The sequence below is a fragment of the Homo sapiens genome, chromosome 5, assembly GCF_000001405.40.
Source record: "Homo sapiens chromosome 5, GRCh38.p14 Primary Assembly".
In the NCBI taxonomy this organism is placed as follows: Eukaryota; Metazoa; Chordata; class Mammalia; order Primates; family Hominidae; genus Homo; species Homo sapiens.
Window position 1 is genome coordinate 119519459 of NC_000005.10, and position 20692 is coordinate 119540150.

The following is a 20692-nucleotide window of genomic DNA, read 5'->3' on the forward strand; positions in this document are numbered from 1 at the left end:
TTCTAGTGGGAGATCTTTGCAGATTTAGAACACCCCTTTGTGGGGCCACAAAGCTGTAGAGAAATCATGGATGCTAGTTGGACCATCTGAGTCACTTGCATGTAACTGCCAGAAAGTGCTTACTATCTGATGGGATCATCTAAAGTGAACTGCTGATCAGCCCATGTTTTAGATGCAGAGACTGATTGCATTCCAGATTTTGCAAATATCAAGTCATATTTCCTGGAGTATTCTTTCTCTCATTTTTATTTGGACCTTTAGGACCATAAAGAACTCATGTAAAGTCATTAAGAAAGCAACACAAGCATTCATCTTATCTAGAAGAGTCCCAGCATTTAATTTAGTTTCACTAGAATATTTTCATAATTTTTTATAATTCTGCTTCTACTAAACGATCACAGTATGATACACCAATTGTCAATTTTTAAAAGAAAAAACTTCTTTTACATCCTCTGGTCTCATAATCTGAGATATTACTGACAGCCACGTTCTAGGTCCCACTCGCAGCTCCAGAAAAGACTCCTTTGAACTTTTTCTCTAGGCTACCATAGCACCCATCGCCTTTAGTTTCCAATACGTGTCACCTTCACTTCACTGATTATTTGTGGGTGAAAGTTTCAGATAAATCACTGGGAATCAAAAATAAATCATTGAGAAACCAAAAAAATTACCATACATTTTATAACTACTACCTGTTTTTTTTTTTTTAAACAATGATTTATTATTTTCCAAGACTCTGGGTTGACTGGGTGATCTTTCTGCTACAAATGGTGTAGCTGCTTTTAGATGGCAGCTGGGCAGGGCTGGAAGGTTCCAAGATGGCTTCTTTTGCATATCTGGGGTCTTAGTGCTAGCTGTTGGCTGGGGTGCTTCGAATCTTCCCTACATGGCCTCTTTCTTCATGTGGTGTATCATCTTCCAGGACCTTTTTTTATAGCCCTCAGTGAGACCCCCATTTAGATTTCTGGAGTTATTTTTCTGTGTAACTTCCTCCTCTTCAGTACACACAAATTCAGCTGCATCATACTTTCAGAATTCTAATCTATATTTGTAACTCATTGAGACCACTTTGCTATATTCGAGATTTCTGAATTGCAGTCTGGGAACTGCTGTCAGAAGGAAGCTGTACAATTGTAGAACTCATCTTGTTTGTTTCTTTTCTGTAAAGAATTGTAGTCCTGCATTGCCTGCTGTCCAATGTCTAGGAACAGTGGTAACCCCCACCTTTTTTTTTCTTTATAATTTTTCTAGTTGTTTATGGTAGAAGAATAAGTCCATTCGAGGTCCTTCATTATGGCCAGAAGCAAAAGTCGTGTATACCTTTTTTAATGCCCTTAATGCCTCATTTTCCCATTTAATCCATGACTATCTAGTTTTTTAGTTTTGATTGCTGTTCTTTGGCTTCGTTTCTTGTATAACAGTCAAAAGAGGTTATTTTACTTTTTCCCCTCTTATTGTTCCCATTTTGGGGGATGCATTATTTTTACTGTTTAGAGCATTTAACATTTATGTATTATTTCCACTTTTCTGTATCTTTTAGTTTTAGATTTGCAGTTGAATATGTCAACCCTTTTGCCAAAGCTTCTTAGTCAGCTCTTAGTTGGATGAAGCTCCTTCTGTGGAAGGTTTCCCAAGAACGGCTCCTGTGTATAGTGTTGCCTTGGTTTCTATATCTTTAAAACTATTTACCCTAGATACTTGAAGGGACAGCATTGTTGGATATAAAATCTTATTTCTTAAAAATGGTGCATCATTGTTGTCTTACTTTGTATGTTGCCTTTGAAAAGTCTGATGCCAATCTAATTATCTTCCCCTGTAAGTTACTTGATCTTTACCCTGAGGCCCTCAAGATTATTTTCGTTTTTAAAGTCTAATGGTTTTGCTGGGATATGTCTCAGTCTTGCATGTTGCAGGTCAGTCTTCCTTATATACCTGGTGGGCCTTTTTAATATGTATATTCATGTCTTTTAGTTTTATAGTATTAAAATTTTAAATATTAGTTCTCTTTCACTGTTTTGCTTTTCTTTCTTTGGGTATCCATTTATATGTATGTTGAATCTTTTCATGTCTTTCAACTACTTTTCTTCTGTTCTTTTTTAGTTGCTTCTTGATCTCATTTTCATTCTCATGGTTCATTTCTGCCCTTTCTGCCATCCCCTTATTTAATTTTTATTTGAATGTGTTCTCCTTTGGGTACCTTATAATTTAGTCTTCATTTCTTATATGATTTTGATTTTTTCTTTCCATTTCTTTCTTGAATTTAATCATTACTTATTTATTTCTTCATGTATGTCATCCATTTATTTTCTTAGTTTTTGGATTTTGGATTCAGAGTGTTTGTTTTACATCCCCAAATGCTTGAGTGTTTTGTTACAGTTTTCTTCTGTTTGGCAGTTTGTTTATTTGGAGGGGGGGTGGATTTTATTTACTAAAAGGTTTTGTTTTGCATTTTCAGTTTTGGTTTTTTTTTTTTAAATATATATGTATTTTTATTATACTTTAAGTTCTAGGGTACATGTGCACAATGTGCAGGTTTGTTACATACGTATACATGTGCCATGTTGGTGTGCTGCACCCGTTAACTCGTCATTTACGTTAGGTATATCTCCTAATGATATCCCTCCCTCCTCCCCCACCCCACAACAGGCCCCGGTGTGTGATGTTCCCCTTCCTGTGTCCAAGTGTTCTCATTATTCAATTCCCACGTATGAGTGAGAACATGTGGTGTTTGGTTTTTTGTCCTTGCAATAGTTTTCTGAGAATGATGGTTTCCAGCTTCATCCATGTCCCTACAAAAGACATGAACTCATCCTTTTTTATGACTGCATAGTATTTCATGGTGTATATGTGCTACATTTTTTTAATCCAGTCTATCATTGTTGGACATTTGGGTTGGTTCCAAGTCTTTGCTATTGTGAGTAGTGCTGCAATAAACATACGTGTGCATGTGTCTTTATAGCAGCATGATTATAATCCTTTGGGTATATACCCAGTAATGGGATGGCTGGGTCAAATGGTATTGCTAGTTCTAGATCCCTGAGGAATTGCAATTTTAGTTTTATGTTAGTGTTGTACAGATGAAGAATATTTACCTCTGTGCGTTTTGTGGTTTGGGGTGGTTTCCAAGATTCTTAGTTCAAAATTGCCCTTTCTCTCTGTGTAGCAACATGCAATTTCTTTAGTGGGTGGCTTTAAAGAAGGGGCACTGTGGGGAGGTGTTTTATTTTTAAAAATAAAATAAATTATCTTTCAGGATCATTAATTTCCTCTCTTGCTTCTTTTTTTCTTCATCCAGTCTCCAAAGGTGATATCTTTGTTTTATTCTGTTCTCCCCGAAAGTGATACCTTTCTGGAATTGCCACTGGAAGACTAGTGTACTATTAATTATTTTCATTGTAGTCAGTGCTGTAATCTTCCAGGATTCATTTCAGTATTTTTGCCCTTAAGATGGATTTATCTGGGAGTGATTTTCCTTTTCCCTCTTCCATGCACTGCTTTTGCACCCCCCAAGCCCTGCCACTCTGCAGTAGCTTTCAGAGGGTGCTCAAAAGTTAGCACTGATAGAAAAGTGGTGTTTATTTTGAGACTTACTGGAATTTGAACTCTGCAGTGTTCTCTGTCTTCTAGTTACACTGTAGGCTTGAGATTTGTGTAGTTTTATTTGTTCTCATTATTTGTATTTTTTTTTTCGAGGATATGAGGACTTAAAAAGCACTAGTTTCCTGAGCCTATTTATTTAGCATTTAGTTTAACTTAATGGTACAATTTTAAAAAATCAAATTAAGGAATAGTTTACCTGTATGCAGATTATCCTCCCACCTACTTTTAATATGCAAAATAATATATAGCTATTTTTCTTTTTCTTATTTTTTTGGTGGTTGTTATTTATAATGACTTATTTCCAGGCAGAAATGAAACGAAACAAGAAACTTTTAGCTTTCCTTCTGAAATATGCCATTTCTTCAAAATACGTAGAAGATAAGCTTTGGCAGTGGTCATTATTAATTGAACAATGCTTATTTTGTGTTATGATTGAATGGGTCAAACATCTAGTCAGTTGGCTTTTGTCATTTCTCATAATGAACCTTTTTTGTCTTCGTTTAACTCTGTTATCTATAGAAAGCAATGCTATCATTGAAATAATGTGAGATATTTCATATTAATACGATTTCTTCAGAACACTGTATTCATTTATAGGAATGATATATGTGGGATAAGAATACTAGTACTAATCTTAGAAACTTGGTTGTTTGTATTGTTGCTATAATCTTTAAAAAATAACTAACATTTATTGAGGTATTATTTATCAAAGATAATACCTTGTAAGCTTTATCCCACCTTTTTCCAACTACTCTGTGAGAGTAAGTTCTGTTAGCCTCTAAATGTTTCTAAATGAGCAATTGAGGCTTCGAATGGTGAAGAAACTTGCCCATTAATGGTAGAGCTGGCTTTGAATCTAGATCTGACTAGTACCAAATCCCATGATCTAGCATGTGTTTGATAATTTCCTGTCACAATTTCAGGCCCTGAAATGTGTTTTTCTTTCATTTGTATACATCATGATATATATTTGCTAACATTTTATTATATAAAGTGCTTTTAAAAAATTATCATTTACTTCTCTTAGCATCTCATATGGGACCTTGCAAGTCACCAGTATTCAATAATTGTTTATTTGATTTCATTATATTAAGAAGACATGTAAAGGAAAGAATATTGAGTCATTGGGAAAGTAAATAATCTATAGAACCATTATATGGAGTCATGGGGAAGGAAAAGAGCTTATTGGAATTATACAAAGCATATTAAAAAGAATGATGCTTTCTTATGAATTATAGAATATTTTCTATAAATAAAACTTGTTAAAAATAATCAGTAGTTTAAAAGTAATAAAAGATCAGTAATTTTAAAAAGATATGGCTAGTCTTTACACAGCATTTCAGTAGTCTTTGGAAAACAGCACAGCAATTAATGAGAAAGGGAAGAAGTCTTGAGGCTGACCTAAAAGGGTCGGTCAAGTTTACAGATACATTAAATACACTTACTATTAGCTGTTTGGTGAATTTCTTCCTTTCAGTGCTGGTAAGTGCTTTCTAACTTGGAAGAATGTACCATTTAAACGCCAGAAAGTATGGTGACTTTTTCCCTATTGTTATCCAGGCCACGCTGCTAATCCTACTTTATCTAAGTAAACTAGTGATGTGGAAATCTGGACTCAGCAGAACTTTTATCATAATAGCAAGCTATCAGTTCAGTCAGTTTTCTTGCAGGGTGAGCTAATGTTCAGGATTTAGTGTACCAGCAGAATGAAAGTTAGTGAGAAGTCTTTGATGTTTCTATGTCCGATATTGTCTTAGAAGCTTCAATTTAAAACACCCCAGTAAGAAAGTTGGCATAAATTTTGCTTGCTTAGAGCAGACTATAAACATTTACCTTATCTGTGTATAAATGGGAGTAGATTGACTGACTTCTTTTTGTGAATTTCTCCTTAGGTAGTAGTAACAGTGTTTTACCTAAATATAATTCTTGGCTTCCCTTTCTACATTTTTTTCCCTCCCACTGATTTTAGTGGCAAGTGTTAAAAAAACATTTCATTATAGGTAATCTTTATTGTTAAAAATAATTATTTTTAAAATCAGAGCCTCAGGTACATTATGATACAATGCTTATACCAATAACCAGCCATGTTTCCTATTTTTCATTTAATGTATTCTAACAAAACACTGAGTTCTAGTTATGTTTATGCTTTCTCCACAGGCTGCTTTGTACCGCCTCAGTGGAGACTGGAATCCCTTACACATTGATCCTAACTTTGCTAGTCTAGCAGGTGAGTTGTCTTTAATATGTATCAATGAAAAATATTAGCTATTCGATATTTAATTAAATAATGTAAAGACACTACTACTTATGACTGGTAGTTTGAGTAGCATTTAAAAAAATGTTATTTTATTTATTACATTTATGCAAAGGATATGGAAAGGTAGGAAATGTGTTCAGAAAATAGTGCACTTGAAATTCAGATTATGGTGGAGGGAAGTTCCCGCTAGTGCGAGGTCTAGGATAGGACCACGAGGGTGGGTGTGTGAGTTATCACAAAGGACAAGGTCATTGGAGAGAGAGCAAGGAACTGAAAGGTTAGGGAAGGATCATGTACCTGTGTGGATGTTGAGAGTACCCTGGATGATTTCATGGTTACAACCAAAACTAAACAAAACAATTGTGTTTCCAGATCTCTCACATTCTTTTCCTGTTTTGTTTTTTTTTTTTCTTTCTTTCTTTATTTCATAATTTCCTCCCAGGAAATACTCTTTAAAAAATATCTACTGTGTTTCTTAAAATAGATGGTATAATTCCTGCTAATGCAGTCTAAGGACATTTTTAAAGTCCTGAATTAACTACACTTGATTTTTAAACTTTAAAGGTACCTGTATCTAACTCAGTGTTCTCTCTTTTCCTAGGTTTTGACAAGCCCATATTACATGGATTATGTACATTTGGATTTTCTGCCAGGCGTGTGTTACAGCAGTTTGCAGATAATGATGTGTCAAGATTCAAGGCAATTAAGGTAAATGTGTATTACTACGTAATTTGAATATTACTTCCTTTTTCTATCTTTAGAGAAGAAAAGGGGTTTTAGTGATTTAATTGAAAATAGATATTGTACTACAGCAATGTACATTTTTATTATTTCATTGACCTGGCAATCAGCACACTTTCTTTTTGTAGCTATAAATAGCTCTGTTGCACATGCACCAGGAAGGATGCACAGTTGCAATTTTGACAGATTAACTGGGTTGCTTTATAAATTAATTAGGTGCATATATTATATATATATATATCAGTACGTATGCCTTGAAAACTCAAGATTTGCTTTTTTTAACTGTTTTATCATTTTCATTAATTTAATTAAAAATGTTAAGTGGCTGATTAAGTCCAATAAACATACATCTACAGCAATATAATGACTGCATATTGTTTTAACTCTGTACTTTTTAGTTGATTTCAAATTTTTATCCATTATAAATAACAAGGAAAAATATCCATGCCCATATTATTTTTGTGTATGTTTAAGCCAAAAGATGTACACTTAAAAAAGTTTAAGGGGTTGTCAAATAGCTCCAAAAGCTTTTAATTTATCCTCCATGCAGTAGTGAAAATATATTTTCTGATGCATTGCCTTTGATAACACTAATTACTCTCATGCTTTTCATTTTGTTACAACTATTTTTTATTATCCAGTAATATATACACAGAGAAAATAATATAAAAAATTATGAAATAAAAAGTGGAATTATTTTGCCCTGCATACTCACCCCAGGCCTCATTCCTTAGACTTAATTTGTACCACTTTTAACTGTTTCTTTAAGTTGTTCTGATGTACCTATATAACTCACCTAATATGATTATGGTTTTATTTCTTGATTTGTCAAGATAAAAAACACTATTTTTTGATTCCATACTTTGAAAGACAAAGAATTGGCTTACTTATATTAGTTACATCTTTATTTTACTAATTTTATCATATTATACTTAGGTCTTTTATGAATTTAAATATCTTTAAACCTTGATTTTTTTTTTCTTTTGTGCTCTCTAGTTTCCTTTCCAATTTTTTCCTCCTACAAGTAAAAGAGTTTCCTTTTAAAACATTTTTAACCCCACAATTCTTTTTTAAAGGCTCGTTTTGCAAAACCAGTATATCCAGGACAAACTCTACAAACTGAGATGTGGAAGGAAGGAAACAGAATTCATTTTCAAACCAAGGTATGAATTTTGCTTTTTCACCCTTCTCACATGCTTTATCATTGTGTTCCATCTTACCATTTTTTTTTGGTTAGTACTATGGATAGAAAGTTCTTTTTAAGTAATGGTAAATTTTAATTAAAAATAAGATACAGCTTGTCTGGTGTTTTCAAAATTTTTATTTATCAGGCAACACTTAATAAAATAGAAGTGTTTTGCACCCTGTGTTTTATTTTCTCTTTTATTTTCAACTAAATTGGTAGCTATCTATGTAGCAGTGGCCCAGCTATTCTGAAAACCCAGCCAACCATGTCTTTTTGGCTCAACTAGTCAATCAAGTCATTGTCAAAATATCATCTTAAAAAATTTAAAGGCATGACTCAGACAGATATACAGTGAAAACATGACAGAAATCTATCTGACTCATTAATGAAGGATCTTGCAATATGATAAAACATGTTCGAAAAAAAATTAGAACAACAGTTTATATGGTCCAATAGGAAAGTTATTCTAAAATAATTTTGCAGAGTTAGAGACAAAATTAGTTAATATCCTATAGAACAATAAAATCTTATCCTTTATGAGTTTTCTCTGGACAGAAATCATATGCATCTTGATTACACAAAAAATCCACAAATTAACAAGTTACATCACAGAGTCTGGGCCTAACAAATAGTAAATGAGGTTATTTTGGGGTGAGGCTGTTAGCAATGCTCCAGTAAAATACTAAAAGGACATGCAATCATTGTTTTATTTGCAAGTTATTAAAAGACAGTTTTTGTTAACACAGTTGACCAGGCTAATACTTTTTGGCTTGATCATTTCATGCTATATAGAGCATATTAAACAACTCCAATGATAATAGGAACAGCTTTCATTTATTGAGAACCTATAAACTGGCAATAGTATTTTCTTTAATATGCATAATAAATCTGTATGTAAATATAAGAAAATCTAGGTTCCTAAGAAAATCTAATCTAGGTGTCCTAAATAACTTGCTCATGGTCACACAGCAAGTGGTTGAGCTGGGATAGAAACCCGATCAGCATGGCTTCAAAGCTTTGATTACAGGCCCCAAATGTCTTTTCTGTATCATGTTTTCTTTCACAAATAGATAACTGCAAAATTCTTCTTACATGGTTGCTTTACTCCTAATTCCTTTCTGCTGGTTGCAATATCATTTTCCTGCTTAATTTGTACATATTGTTTATTTTACTTTTCAAATTCCTCCTGTCCTTCAGGCTTAAGTTCAAGCTCCACTTTGCTCTTAGAGACAGTCTCTTACTATTCCCCACTTTCCTACCCATAGATACACTCAAATTGGTGTTCTCTGAAAGCCTTTGCAGCTAATATCTGTGCCACATATTTTGGAGCCCTCACATTTTCTAATTTGTTTTGTATGAGTAAGTTTTGCTTTTTGATTAAGATTATGAACTCTAAAAGTGTTAAGGACCATGACTATATTACAGGTTTTTATTTTCCTGCAATTCTGGTGATGAATAGTATGTAAATAATTTCTATGGATACAAACTTGAAGGGCTGAGAAATGATTAAATGTCTAAATATAATGTATTCTTGCCATTTTGTTAAATTCTAAGCATGCTGTCTTATCTTTTCAGCATATTTGCTATATTTTTCTTCAGTGATTATAGATATTCTTTTTCTATTAGTTTTAGGACTCCTTCTCTCCCTGCCTCCTTTTCTCACTTTCTCCCTCCCTTCCTCCTTTCCTTTCTATTCTTAAGATATAAGAAACATTTTAAACCAGTGTTTTAAAATGATTTGCTTGATTTGGTAACAATAAAGTAATTTACTGAAGTGCATTTTGTTCATTAATTATCTCTTTCCATGCTTTTCAATGTATGTAATTTGAAGTAAAGTGAACAAATTACTTGAAAGATCTTTTTTCCTCCAAAATATGATGAGATGTAGTCAAGAGAATGATCTTCTTGATTGTTAAAAATCAAAGTTTTAATAAACGCTATGTTAAACTTTAGAAACTTATCCTATACATTTGTAGCAATAACAATTTTTATGAAAGAATAGCCATTGGAATAATTTGAAATGAAGGACTGGGAATTAGAATTTGAATTCCTTTAATGACTATTTTGATAAAAGCCTATTTAGACATTTAGTTCATGCTGTGTACACTTCCTCTTGAAATAAGACCTGGAATTACTACTTAAAAAACACTATTATGATTTGTTCCTAGCCAATTTTATTCTATATTAGCAGAACAAATGTACTTTGAGTACCATTACCTCATGTGGCTATTGTGCTATGCCTTTTACTATTTATAAGGATTCAGCATGGACTGAATTCTGTTTATAAGAGTGCATCCCCTGATCCCCACTTCCCCCCCAAAAAATGCCCAAAATACCAAGGCCCAGTCTCTATCAGTGTATTTACATTAGAATTTTGGGGGATGGGACCTCATAGGGTTTCTTTGTTTGTTTGTTTTAAAGGGCTCCAGCTGATTATAAAGCCAGGTTTAGTAACAGTTGTATTAAATCAGAAAGCCTTTATGTTTGTTCATCTTGACATTTACTTTAGCAGCCTTTTATTTTATCTGGATTATTATATTCTTTTTCATATGAGGCAAAAATAATAAATTTTAAACTTTGTACTGTTTCACAGTGAAATTACACTTCCATTGTAATCAGAATAAATCTTTTTTTTTTCTTCTCCTCCTAAGGTCCAAGAAACTGGAGACATTGTCATTTCAAATGCATATGTGGATCTTGCACCAACATCTGGTACTTCAGCTAAGACACCCTCTGAGGTAGGTTATAAAAATTAGTATCCAAGCCACTTCCTCATTTAGGAATTTCAGTTAAGGTGACTTTAAGAGTGGTTAGGCTACGTTAGAAAATTAACAACCATGAAACTATTCTTAATTCTTGAAGTGAAAAACATTAATTCAAAACAGCTTGGAATAGAAGGAATACTCTGGCAATTTATGAACTTTAAAAAACTCGTTTTGCAGGATACTAGGATATCTTTCAAGAGAACATAATTTTCTAGTTTTAGAATAAATAAATCAGTTGTTTAATCAGAATCTTAAGCAAACAGCGTTTTGGAGAAAAATAGATTAAAAAGTTGAATATCCTGTACCTTTTTCTTGATTTAAAGGTTTATATAAAGTTTTGTATGCAAATATATAAACCAGCAGCGTGTATAATTTATTAAAACATTGTATTATTTATTAGCATGCTGAGACTTTTGATAAAAATGTTTATATTCTATCTCTGAAATATTAACTTTGTAATGTTGAGGTTTCGATACCCATGATCTTTAATTGTCTGTCATAAACCATATAACTGACTGAAAATTAAAATCCCTTAAGAATAGTCTAAGAAAAAAAAAAACTTAGAGCGGGCTCGGTGCCTCACGCCTGTAATCCCAGCCCTTTGGGAGGCTGAAGTGGTTAGGTCACTTGAGGTCAGGAGTTCAAGACCAGCCTGGCCAACATGGTGAGACTCCATCTCTACTAAAAATACAAAAATTAGCCAGCCTTGGTGGCAGGCTCCTGTAATCCCAGCTACTCAAGAAGCTGAAGCAGGAGAATCACGGGAACCCGGGAGGTGGAGGTTGCAGTGAGCCAAGATTGCACTACTGCATTCTAGCCTGGGCGACAAGTCTGTCTCAAAAAAAAAAAAAAAAAACAAAAAACAAAAAAAACCCAAAACTTAAGTTTTAGAGCTGTAAAGAAATTCAGACTTCATGTAATTTAGTATTATTTTATAAATAAAAAAAATGAGACCATAGAAGTTGATTAATTTGATCAGGATCTTTCTAAAGTTAGCTAAAACATAGGTTGTCCAGTTCCTATTTTTCTTTTAAAATATTATTTCTGAATTCTAATAAAAGTAAAATCCTGTTATTAAGAGGACTGAGGTTCTGAGTGATGTATACAAATAAGAAAGTATGAAAGACACATTGTATGAAGAAAACTGACTTATGTACAGAGTTTTAAAAAATCTTTTTTTTGCACATGTTTTATAATCACTTTTCTCCATGAGTTATTTTTACAGAACTTTTAAAGTTTATTTTGTTGTCGTTGTTAGGGCGGGAAGCTTCAGAGTACCTTTGTATTTGAGGAAATAGGACGCCGCCTAAAGGATATTGGGCCTGAGGTGGTGAAGAAAGTAAATGCTGTATTTGAGTGGCATATAACCAAAGGCGGAAATATTGGGGCTAAGTGGAGTAAGTTATAGCCCTGATTTTATAATATTCTAAGGTAATTCTTAGTAAATAAAGTATCTTTTTAACAATTAAAGACCTTTGAAGGTAGGTAAATCTTACCTTTTTAGGTAAGTTTTTTTTCTTTTCCCGTGGGAATGAATAGGTTTGGGAATGTCCAAAGGGGGGTGTGTGTGTGTGTGTGTGTGTGTGTGTTTGTGTGTGTGTGTAAGAGATGTAGGGAATCAATTGAAATGAAAATAACCTGTTTTAAGATTTCATTGTAATCCTTGAAAGTAGTTTAAACAGTCATCTTGGCTATATGCATCTTTATCTAATCTTCAGCTTCTTAAACATAAGGCAAATTCATCAAGTCAAAATGAAGTATTTTTAAGTCATGATATTTGACAGTTACAAAATTATTTTATTCATACCAAAACAATAATTTGGATTATCTTAATTATCAATATAAAATCACTATTTTCTAGATATATACAGATTATGGTCAAAGGTGTTTGTTTATCTAATCTAGGGAAATTATCTATTAGAGTGCCATGCACCCAATATAAAACATCTTGCCGCAGAAAGAAAGCAGTCATATTTCTTTTCACTGATGTGGAGGTCCAAAGAGACCCTGGTACCATTTTGTGAAGAAAGAGAAATTAGAGGATAAAAAGAATAAAGAAAAAATATTCTGTCAGATCTTTTGCATCTGCTGTGTAACTCACATCCTTAATCATGGCACACACTTTAATTATGGAATATTCTAACCTCACCTTTATTTTCCTAGAGATTCTTCAATTAGGTTGAAAAGATGAAAATGGATAGGAGGTAGAGCAGTAAGTCCCTGAATTCCCTTTCAGCAGAGTCTGTTGCTTGTCACAGTTATCTTACTGTATTATGGTCATTTATAATTGTATGTTTTCTCTCATTTGACTTTGGGCTTAATCCTGAGAAATGGCTGCAGTTTGTCTATTTCTAGCTTCTAGTATAGTCAATAACACATAATAACTAGCCTGATTCTGTATATGTTGGAATGAGTGCTAAAAGCCATGTAGAAAGCATAGTTTTAGAAAATAGTATGGCTGCCTTTTAAAAAAAAGGTTCTGAAATTGATGCTTTACCTTCTATTAAAATAATGTTTATTGTATGGATAGTGATGTTTATTTTTTGTTTAGTATGAGTGAAATATGTAAGTATAATATGATACTGAGATATTTCATAAATAACTAACATATTTTATAGTATTTATTACTATTAATTTCTAAACCCAGCCAGAAGTTGTTGTAGTAAACCCTTTGAATCCTATTTTATTGTTCTAAGCAACGGTAAAAAATCGGAGGAAATGAAAGATGACATAAAGGCATAAGGGAGATAAAGAATCAGAGGATTTATGTGGCCTACAGAATAGTCTGCTCTTGAAAATTAAAACATAGGTACTCTTATCTGAAACTCCAGAAACCAAAAAGCTCTAAAAATAAACAGTTTTTTTTCTCATGATTCACTGGTGGTGAAGTGTGACTTGAACTTATATGATGCTGTTGATTGTCTTTAACTCAGCTAGTGTGAGTTAGACAAGTATAGAAGTAATATGCACGTTTATAGATTGTTGCACCATTGGGGGCCTTTTGTAATATGGAATACATGTTTTATGTATTATATTTCCTTTCTAAAATCTGATTCCAAATTCCAAAACACATCAGCCTGAAGCAGTTCATTCAGATAAGGACTTGTGGACCTGTACATGTATATAAATAATTCTTGTAGAACACAAGTGATAAGAGACATGGAAAAAAGTGCTCTCTGCTTTCAGAGAATGGGAGGATTGGTTCATTCAATGAACATTTGAGTATTTATATGCCAAGTTCTCTGCTAGGTGGAGACTACAAATATGCATTGACAGGATGCCTTTTTTTTTTTTTAAATCCATAGGGATAATTATTTACAGGCTGTGTGTCAGGAAAGGTGAAATACTGGGGTTGAGGAAACAAAGGTTGTTGCATTGCAGAGTGAAAGGAAGACCTCAATTAAGGAAATAGTAATAATGGAGAGGAGAGGGCCTATGTGGAACTATTGCTAAGATTGAATTGGCTAACTTAGCTACTGATTATGTCTAAAAATCAAGAGGAATGAGAAAGAGTCAAAACTAATACTGTGGTTTTGAGCTTGTGTGCTTGAGGATGTTGACTGCATTACTAGAAGTATGAAACAGGTAGAGGAGGGAGGTTTGGGAGAGAAGAAGGTAAGTTGTGGTACCAACACTGTAGCCAACCAAGATCTGGACTAGATTGTGGGGACTGTGGGCCTGGAATTTAAGAGTAACTTCATAGCTAGAGGCAGAGAGTTGGAAAGCATATTTGAGGAATTAGTAGTTGGAACCAAGAACGTTGGCTTCATTCACCACCTTGCTTCATGACATGCAGGAAGAAAATGGAAGGAAAATCTTTGTTGGTCCTGCTGTTCCTGTTCACTTTATGGAATAATGGTTCTAAAATTTCCATTTGTCTGTAAACAAAATGAATATCATAGAATTTGGCCCACAGGTTTTAAATATGCAATTTGTCAGTATTTTAGGCAAAGACAATCCTATACTTTCAAATAGAAATATATTGTTTGTATGTATCCAATACCTGTAAAATAATATTACTGAAACTTTTTATAAAGATTTATTTCCATGTGTTGAATACAATGTTGCTGAGCAAAATCTGTTTTGTTTTCTTTAGGATGATAGGTTTAAGCTGGTTAGCATTGAGCAGTTTGGTTGTTTTCCTCCTGAATTTAAATTTGGTTTCCTTTCACATGTTTGTAATCATTTCCATTATAGGAACATAAGTGGAATTTACATTTAGTTGGCAAGATACTATGGATTTTTGTTTGAATATTGTTTTTGTTTGAATAAATAATAAAATGAGCCGAGTTTTAAAAGGCACGTACTATAATTAGTTGTGTAGAGTTAAGTCTGCATATCTGGACTAAATCCAAGCCTCCATTATGTACTATATATGTACTGTATGATGATGTGACTGGATGAGGATGTTCTTTGACTGTTAGAGGTTATCTATTTTGAATCTTAGACATTTGCCACAGTATGTAAGAATGTACAGAGGTTTGGGAACTGGCATTCTTTTGATACCAGAATAATTAATTCTTGAGGATACCATGTGATCATTAAAACCTCTGAGCTCCTGGGTTGGTGCTCATCTTCTAGCAGTCAAACCAGATTGCCGCTTAGGATTCTCAACTTGGATATAAACTAAATCTCAAGGGTGTTGGTTCCAAACATTGGATTTGGATTGAAATGAGTGTCTCATGCATTTATAGAAAAGTCTTGAAAGATTTTCCTTGAAAAGGAATATGCTCTCCAGTTAGGAATGGGGGCCTGTTTGTTGGAGGTGTATCTGCCTCAGGGTTACTCTCTATTCCCAAAGCAACAGTGACTGTTTCTTCTCTTACTAACAGCAGCTCCTGACTGCGTGCTCATGTACATTTATCTTCAAAAGTACACACAAGTGCACAAAATCATTTAAAACAATTTCTGACTTTCCATCTTCTCTGTGTTATTCATCTTAATAACATCATTTTGTACTTTTTTTTGTTTGAAACAATTTGAGAATTATAGAAAAGTTGCAAAAATACTAGAGAACTTTTGTCTTTCATCCAGTTTCCTCAAATTGTTAAAATTTGTATCTCATCTTCTTTACTATTTTTTTCCATCATATGTGTTTTTTTCTTCTGAGGCATTTAAGAGTAACTTGCAGACATGATGTCCCTTTATGCCTAAGAGACTATGCTACTAGCATTTTCTAAGAACAAAGACATTCTCTTATCTATTCACACAACAAAGATCAATATCAGGAGATTAACATTGATGCAGTATGTTAGCTAATCTGCAGATCTTGTTAATATTTCAATTGTCCCAATAATGTCCTTTATAGCAAAACAATAATAATTATTATTCATTACTAAAATGAAGAAAGAAAAAGAATTGATCAGGGTCCCATCTGGGATTATACATTACATTTGGTTCTTAGGTCTCTAGTCTGCTTTAATCTGGATGAGTTCCTCAGTCTTTGCTTTTCCCAATTTTGAGATATTTGAAGGCTGGAGACCAATTATTTTATAGCTTGTTTCTTGGTTTGTTTTTAGTTGATGCTTTTTTCATGTTTAGTTTTAGTTTATGAACTTTTGGCAGGAATAACACAAAAGTAATATGCTCTTGGTGTGATTTTTAAAAACTTAATTTTTAACCTGGGTTTTTTTCTTTGTGTTTGTTATTACTAATATATATTTTATATATATATATATATTTTTGGGGGTAGACATCCTTCTTTCATGTGCTTTTCCATTTATCAAATAATTCCTAAGTATTTTCTCTTCAAGGAAGTATAGGGGATACAAAGACAAAACATGTTTGTGCCAGCAAAGACCTAATATTAAGGGAAGGTAGCATAAACAAAAACAGTTCCTTCTTTCTCCTGTAGTGACCCTTTGTGATTTGTAAAGTATATATCTTAATAAGATCCTCAGGGGTCTCCAAGTTTTCAAATGCCATATTCTCATCTGTTACCTCACCCCTCCCTCATTAAATGCTGTGAAGTATGACTGAAATTGTTATGGACTCTTTCAGAAGCTTAGTTATTAATAAATACAGAGCTAAAAATCAACAGTAAGATGCCTGTAATGAATTCTGCCACTAAGAGAAAATGAATACAATCTCTTTCTTCACTTCTGAAATAAGATTAGCTGTGATCTTATAGGTGTCTATAAACTCAAGGTGATGGTGGTGGTTGCAGACCATGACCTGAGCCACTACAGAACTGGAAGTTCCACTTCTTTACCTCAAATTTCTGTATTCTTGTATTTCTATATTTTGCTTTTTTTCTAAATGACAGATAATGTATAATTGATAGATAGAATATGTGTAGAATAAGTGCCACATTAACATGGAAACTATAGAAATGTCTGCATTTTACTTGGTTTATTTTACCCTCATTTTGTTGGAGAGAAAAAGATACACATTGGTTTCTTCCTATTTTTCCCAGCTATTGACCTGAAAAGTGGTTCTGGAAAAGTGTACCAAGGCCCTGCAAAAGGTGCTGCTGATACAACAATCATACTTTCAGATGAAGATTTCATGGAGGTGGTCCTGGGCAAGCTTGACCCTCAGAAGGTAATGTTCTCAAATGTTCATTTATTCATTGTTTTATTGTTTCCTCTTTTGACAATTGCAGTTTTTAAGCTGATGCCCAAATTCTGATTTATAAGCCAGGTTTCTTACAACTCTGAAGATGACACAGTTGCTACTGATACTCTGGTTGACAGGTCATATATTTCTTTTTTAATGGAGTTTCACCTGACACTTTTTAAGACTGAACCCACATCTAGATTTTTTAATATATTCTGTTATGTGTTCAAAGGTGAAAAACCATATGACATTAGTAGGTACTACATAAAATTAGACATTCCCAATAAATAAGATTAAGAAATCATTGAATATTGGAACTAGAAGGATATTTTAACCTAATAGCCCATGTCTTACTTAGGGTGAATCTTAGAGGCATTTCAGTGGAAAATCATGATTAACAGAAGAGTGCCTTCTGTGACGATTATTTAGTTAATATTATTATGAAACTTTTGACCAATCCACAAATATACAAAATTAAAGTAATTGATGTGGCAATTAGAATGGAGGAGAAAAATTTGTTATTTTCAATTTGTGATTATGTAGCTAGAAATTCCAAGGGAACTAACTTATTGATTCTTAGAATGAAGGAGTTCAAACAAATGGCTGAGTGCAGTTATTTAAAAATAGCTTTCACATAGGAGTAATTTGAATAAATGAGGAAATATATGATTTTCCTGTATAGAAAGACTAAAAGGAATTGTAAAGTAGTATAGTAGGTAAAAAGTAGTCTTTGGCATCAGATAAAATCTAAATTTGAATCTTGCCCCTGTCACTTCATCCAAAAACCTTAATTTTCTCATTTGTAAAATGAGTTTAATAATTTTAATGTTTACAAGGCTTATTATAAGAACTAAACCCAATAATATGTATGAAGAGCTTAGTACAGTGCTTGGCAATGCAGTGAACCCTCTGTTAATTTCTTTCCAGGAATTTATTTAGTACCTATTCAGGTTGTAGGTATTGGCTGAATTAAGACAAAACCCTACTGTATGGAGCTTCTTTTAGTGTACTAATGCAAAAGAAATAAAATCTCAAGTTAGAGAAGAGTAAGCCTGAGTATAGTGTTAGAGCAATGACTGGCAAACTTTTTCTGTAAAGGGTTACACAGTAAATATTTTAGGCTTTGTGGGCAAGATGGTCTCTGTTGCAGCTCTTCAGCTTTGCCATTGTAGCCTTAAAGTAGCCATAGAGAATATGTAAACAATGGAGTGTGACTGTGTTCCAATAAAACTTTATTTACAGAAACACACAGCCACTAGATCTGGTTCTCCAGCTGTTGTTTGCCAACCCTTGAGTTAGAATGTGACAGGACAGGGGAACTATTTTAAATAGGTTGTTTAAAATACCTTCTGGGGTTTTCTAAGGTACCTGAAATGCCTGACAGAGATTTGAACAGAGTATCAGAATGAGTCATCAGACTAAGGAAACAACTAATACAAAGGCCTGCCGTGCGAGGAACTTGGCTCCACTTAGTCTTCTCTGAGCTCCACAGTGAGAGAACCATCCCTCTACTTGACCACTCTGATGGGAAACTTTCTGGCATGTCAAACTTACTGTGACCAAAATAGAACTTGTGATTTATTTTTCTCCCCCAGTCTCTTCCTTCTTAATTAGTGGCACCATCATCTATTTACCCAAATTAATAAGCCCAGAAATGTAAAAATTATCTTAGATTCCTTCTGCCCTTCTGTATCCTTTCCTTCCTTACTTCTGTCTGATCTTTCTCCAAAATATATCTTGAATTCATCTTCTCTTCCTCTCTAGGGATATCACTGTGATCCTAGCCTCTGTCATCTCTCACCTGTCTTACTTCTTCCAGTCTTGTCTCTCCCATTCAGTCTGTTGTTCTCCACCCAGGAGCCAGAGTAATCCTTTAAAAATGTAAATCAGATTAGATTATTTATGTATGTTAGTCATTTCTACTACTTTCATTAATTACTGGTTCATATTTATCATCCCATTTGATAAAAAATCTCCAGCATTTCCTTTTGCACGTGTATAAAATCCAAGTTAGCTGTTACCATGTCGTGTATGATGTTTCTTTCCCTTGCTCCTTTTTCAGGCTTCATCCCATGCCACTTGCCCCATCACCTGTAATGCTAATTCTAGTTATTTTGTTGTTATTTTGTCCTTCCTTTCAGTTCCTTCCCATCAGCTTTTACTCCTTCAATGTCTATGCATTTGCCTTTTCTGGAATTTCTCCTCCTAGCTGTTTGCATGGCTGGCTTCATTTCATCCAAAGTAGTTTCTTCCTGTTATATTCTGATAACATCCTGTTTTCTCCTTCATTGTATTTATAACAGGCTTTAATTATTTGTTTACATTTTACTTTTTGACTCCCCTAGTTTAATGTTAGCTCTGTGAGAACAGGGACAGATATTCAGCCTAGCCTAGAATATTGCCTAGTATACTGTAGACATTCATACTCAGGTAGATTAAAGCAAATATAGAAGGAATGAAAGTTCAATGTCAGAAGTTTAGGCTGTATAGAAATTAGAAACTTCTGCATGTCAGACTCTATAGTATATTTCCATAAATCGAGGGAAAAAAATAAAATGATGATACAGAGTATCATTCTAAAAATTCTGGAAAGCACTACAACCTCAATAGAAAAAGTGGACAAAAGTCCATCAATGATAGACTGCATTAAGAAAATGTGGCACATACACACCATAGAATACTATGCAGCCATAGAAATGGATGAGTTCATGTCCTTTGTAGGGACATGGATGAAGCTGGAAACCATCATTCTCAGCAAACTATTGCAAGGACAAAAAACCAAACACCGCATGTTCTCACATGTGGGAATTGAACAATGAGAACACCTGGACAGAGGGTGGGGAACATCACACACGGGGACCTGTCATGGGGTTGGGGGAGGGGGGGAGGGATAGCATTAGGAGATATACCTAATGCTAAATGACGAGTTAACGGGTGCAGCACACCAACATGGCACATGTATACATATGTAACAAACCTGCGCATTGTGCACATGTACCCTAGAACTTAAAGTATAATAATAATAATAAAAAAGAAGAAGTGGACAAAAGGTATGGAACAATAATTAATGAAATAAATAGAAATGACTAACATACAAAAGAAAAAAATTTTTCCCAGTATCCAAAAATACAAATTAAAGCATGTTATTTTTGCCTCATATTTTCAAAGTGTAAGAAAATAGTATTTTTAAGGTTGGGATAAGATAATTTACACACAACTGGAGGGAATATAAAATTGGTATAGGCCAGGGACAATGTCTCGTGCCTGTAGTTCCAGCACTTTGGGAGGCCAAGGCAGGAGGATTGCTTGAGTCCAGGAGTTTGAGCCTGGGTGAGACAGTGAGACCCTGTCTCTACCAAAAAAAAAAAAAAAAAAAAATTAGCCTGGTGTGGTGGCACACACCTGTAGTCCCAGCTACTTGAGAGGCTGAGTTGGGAGGATCACTTGAGCCCAGGAGGCTTAGGCTGCAGTGAGTGTGATCATGCAGCTGTAGCCTGGGTGACAGAGCAAGACCCTGTGTCAATCAATCAGTAGTTGGTATAGCCTTTCTGGAAAGCACAGTGCTTCCAGACCTTCTTCCTTTAT

At 33.9% G+C, this 20692-nt stretch overlaps 1 protein-coding gene across 14 annotated transcripts in view, besides 1 other annotated feature; it reads left to right on the forward strand.

Annotated features, from left to right (window-relative positions):
- Positions 1-20692, forward strand: part of HSD17B4 (hydroxysteroid 17-beta dehydrogenase 4) — an 89836-nt gene that overhangs the window by 66962 nt on the left and 2182 nt on the right. For all 14 annotated transcript variants that reach the window (NR_164654.1, NR_164653.1, NM_001374503.1 and 11 more), the window contains 6 exons: positions 5758-5827; positions 6459-6565; positions 7675-7761; positions 10436-10522; positions 11808-11946; positions 16965-17092. Coding sequence is in view for 12 of the 14 variants with exons in the window: in NM_001374503.1 (NP_001361432.1) it covers positions 5758-5827; positions 6459-6565; positions 7675-7761; positions 10436-10522; positions 11808-11946; positions 16965-17092 (618 nt within the window). In the remaining 2 variants the exon portion in view is untranslated. The remainder of the gene's footprint in view (positions 1-5757; positions 5828-6458; positions 6566-7674; positions 7762-10435; positions 10523-11807; positions 11947-16964; positions 17093-20692) is intronic.
- Positions 18669-18748: an enhancer, noted in NCBI's record as "active region_22990". NCBI's record gives its function as "activates an Ori minimal core promoter by ATAC-STARR-seq in GM12878 lymphoblastoid cells {active_cell/tissue: GM12878}" and the evidence as "EXISTENCE:reporter gene assay evidence [ECO:0000049][PMID:35858748]".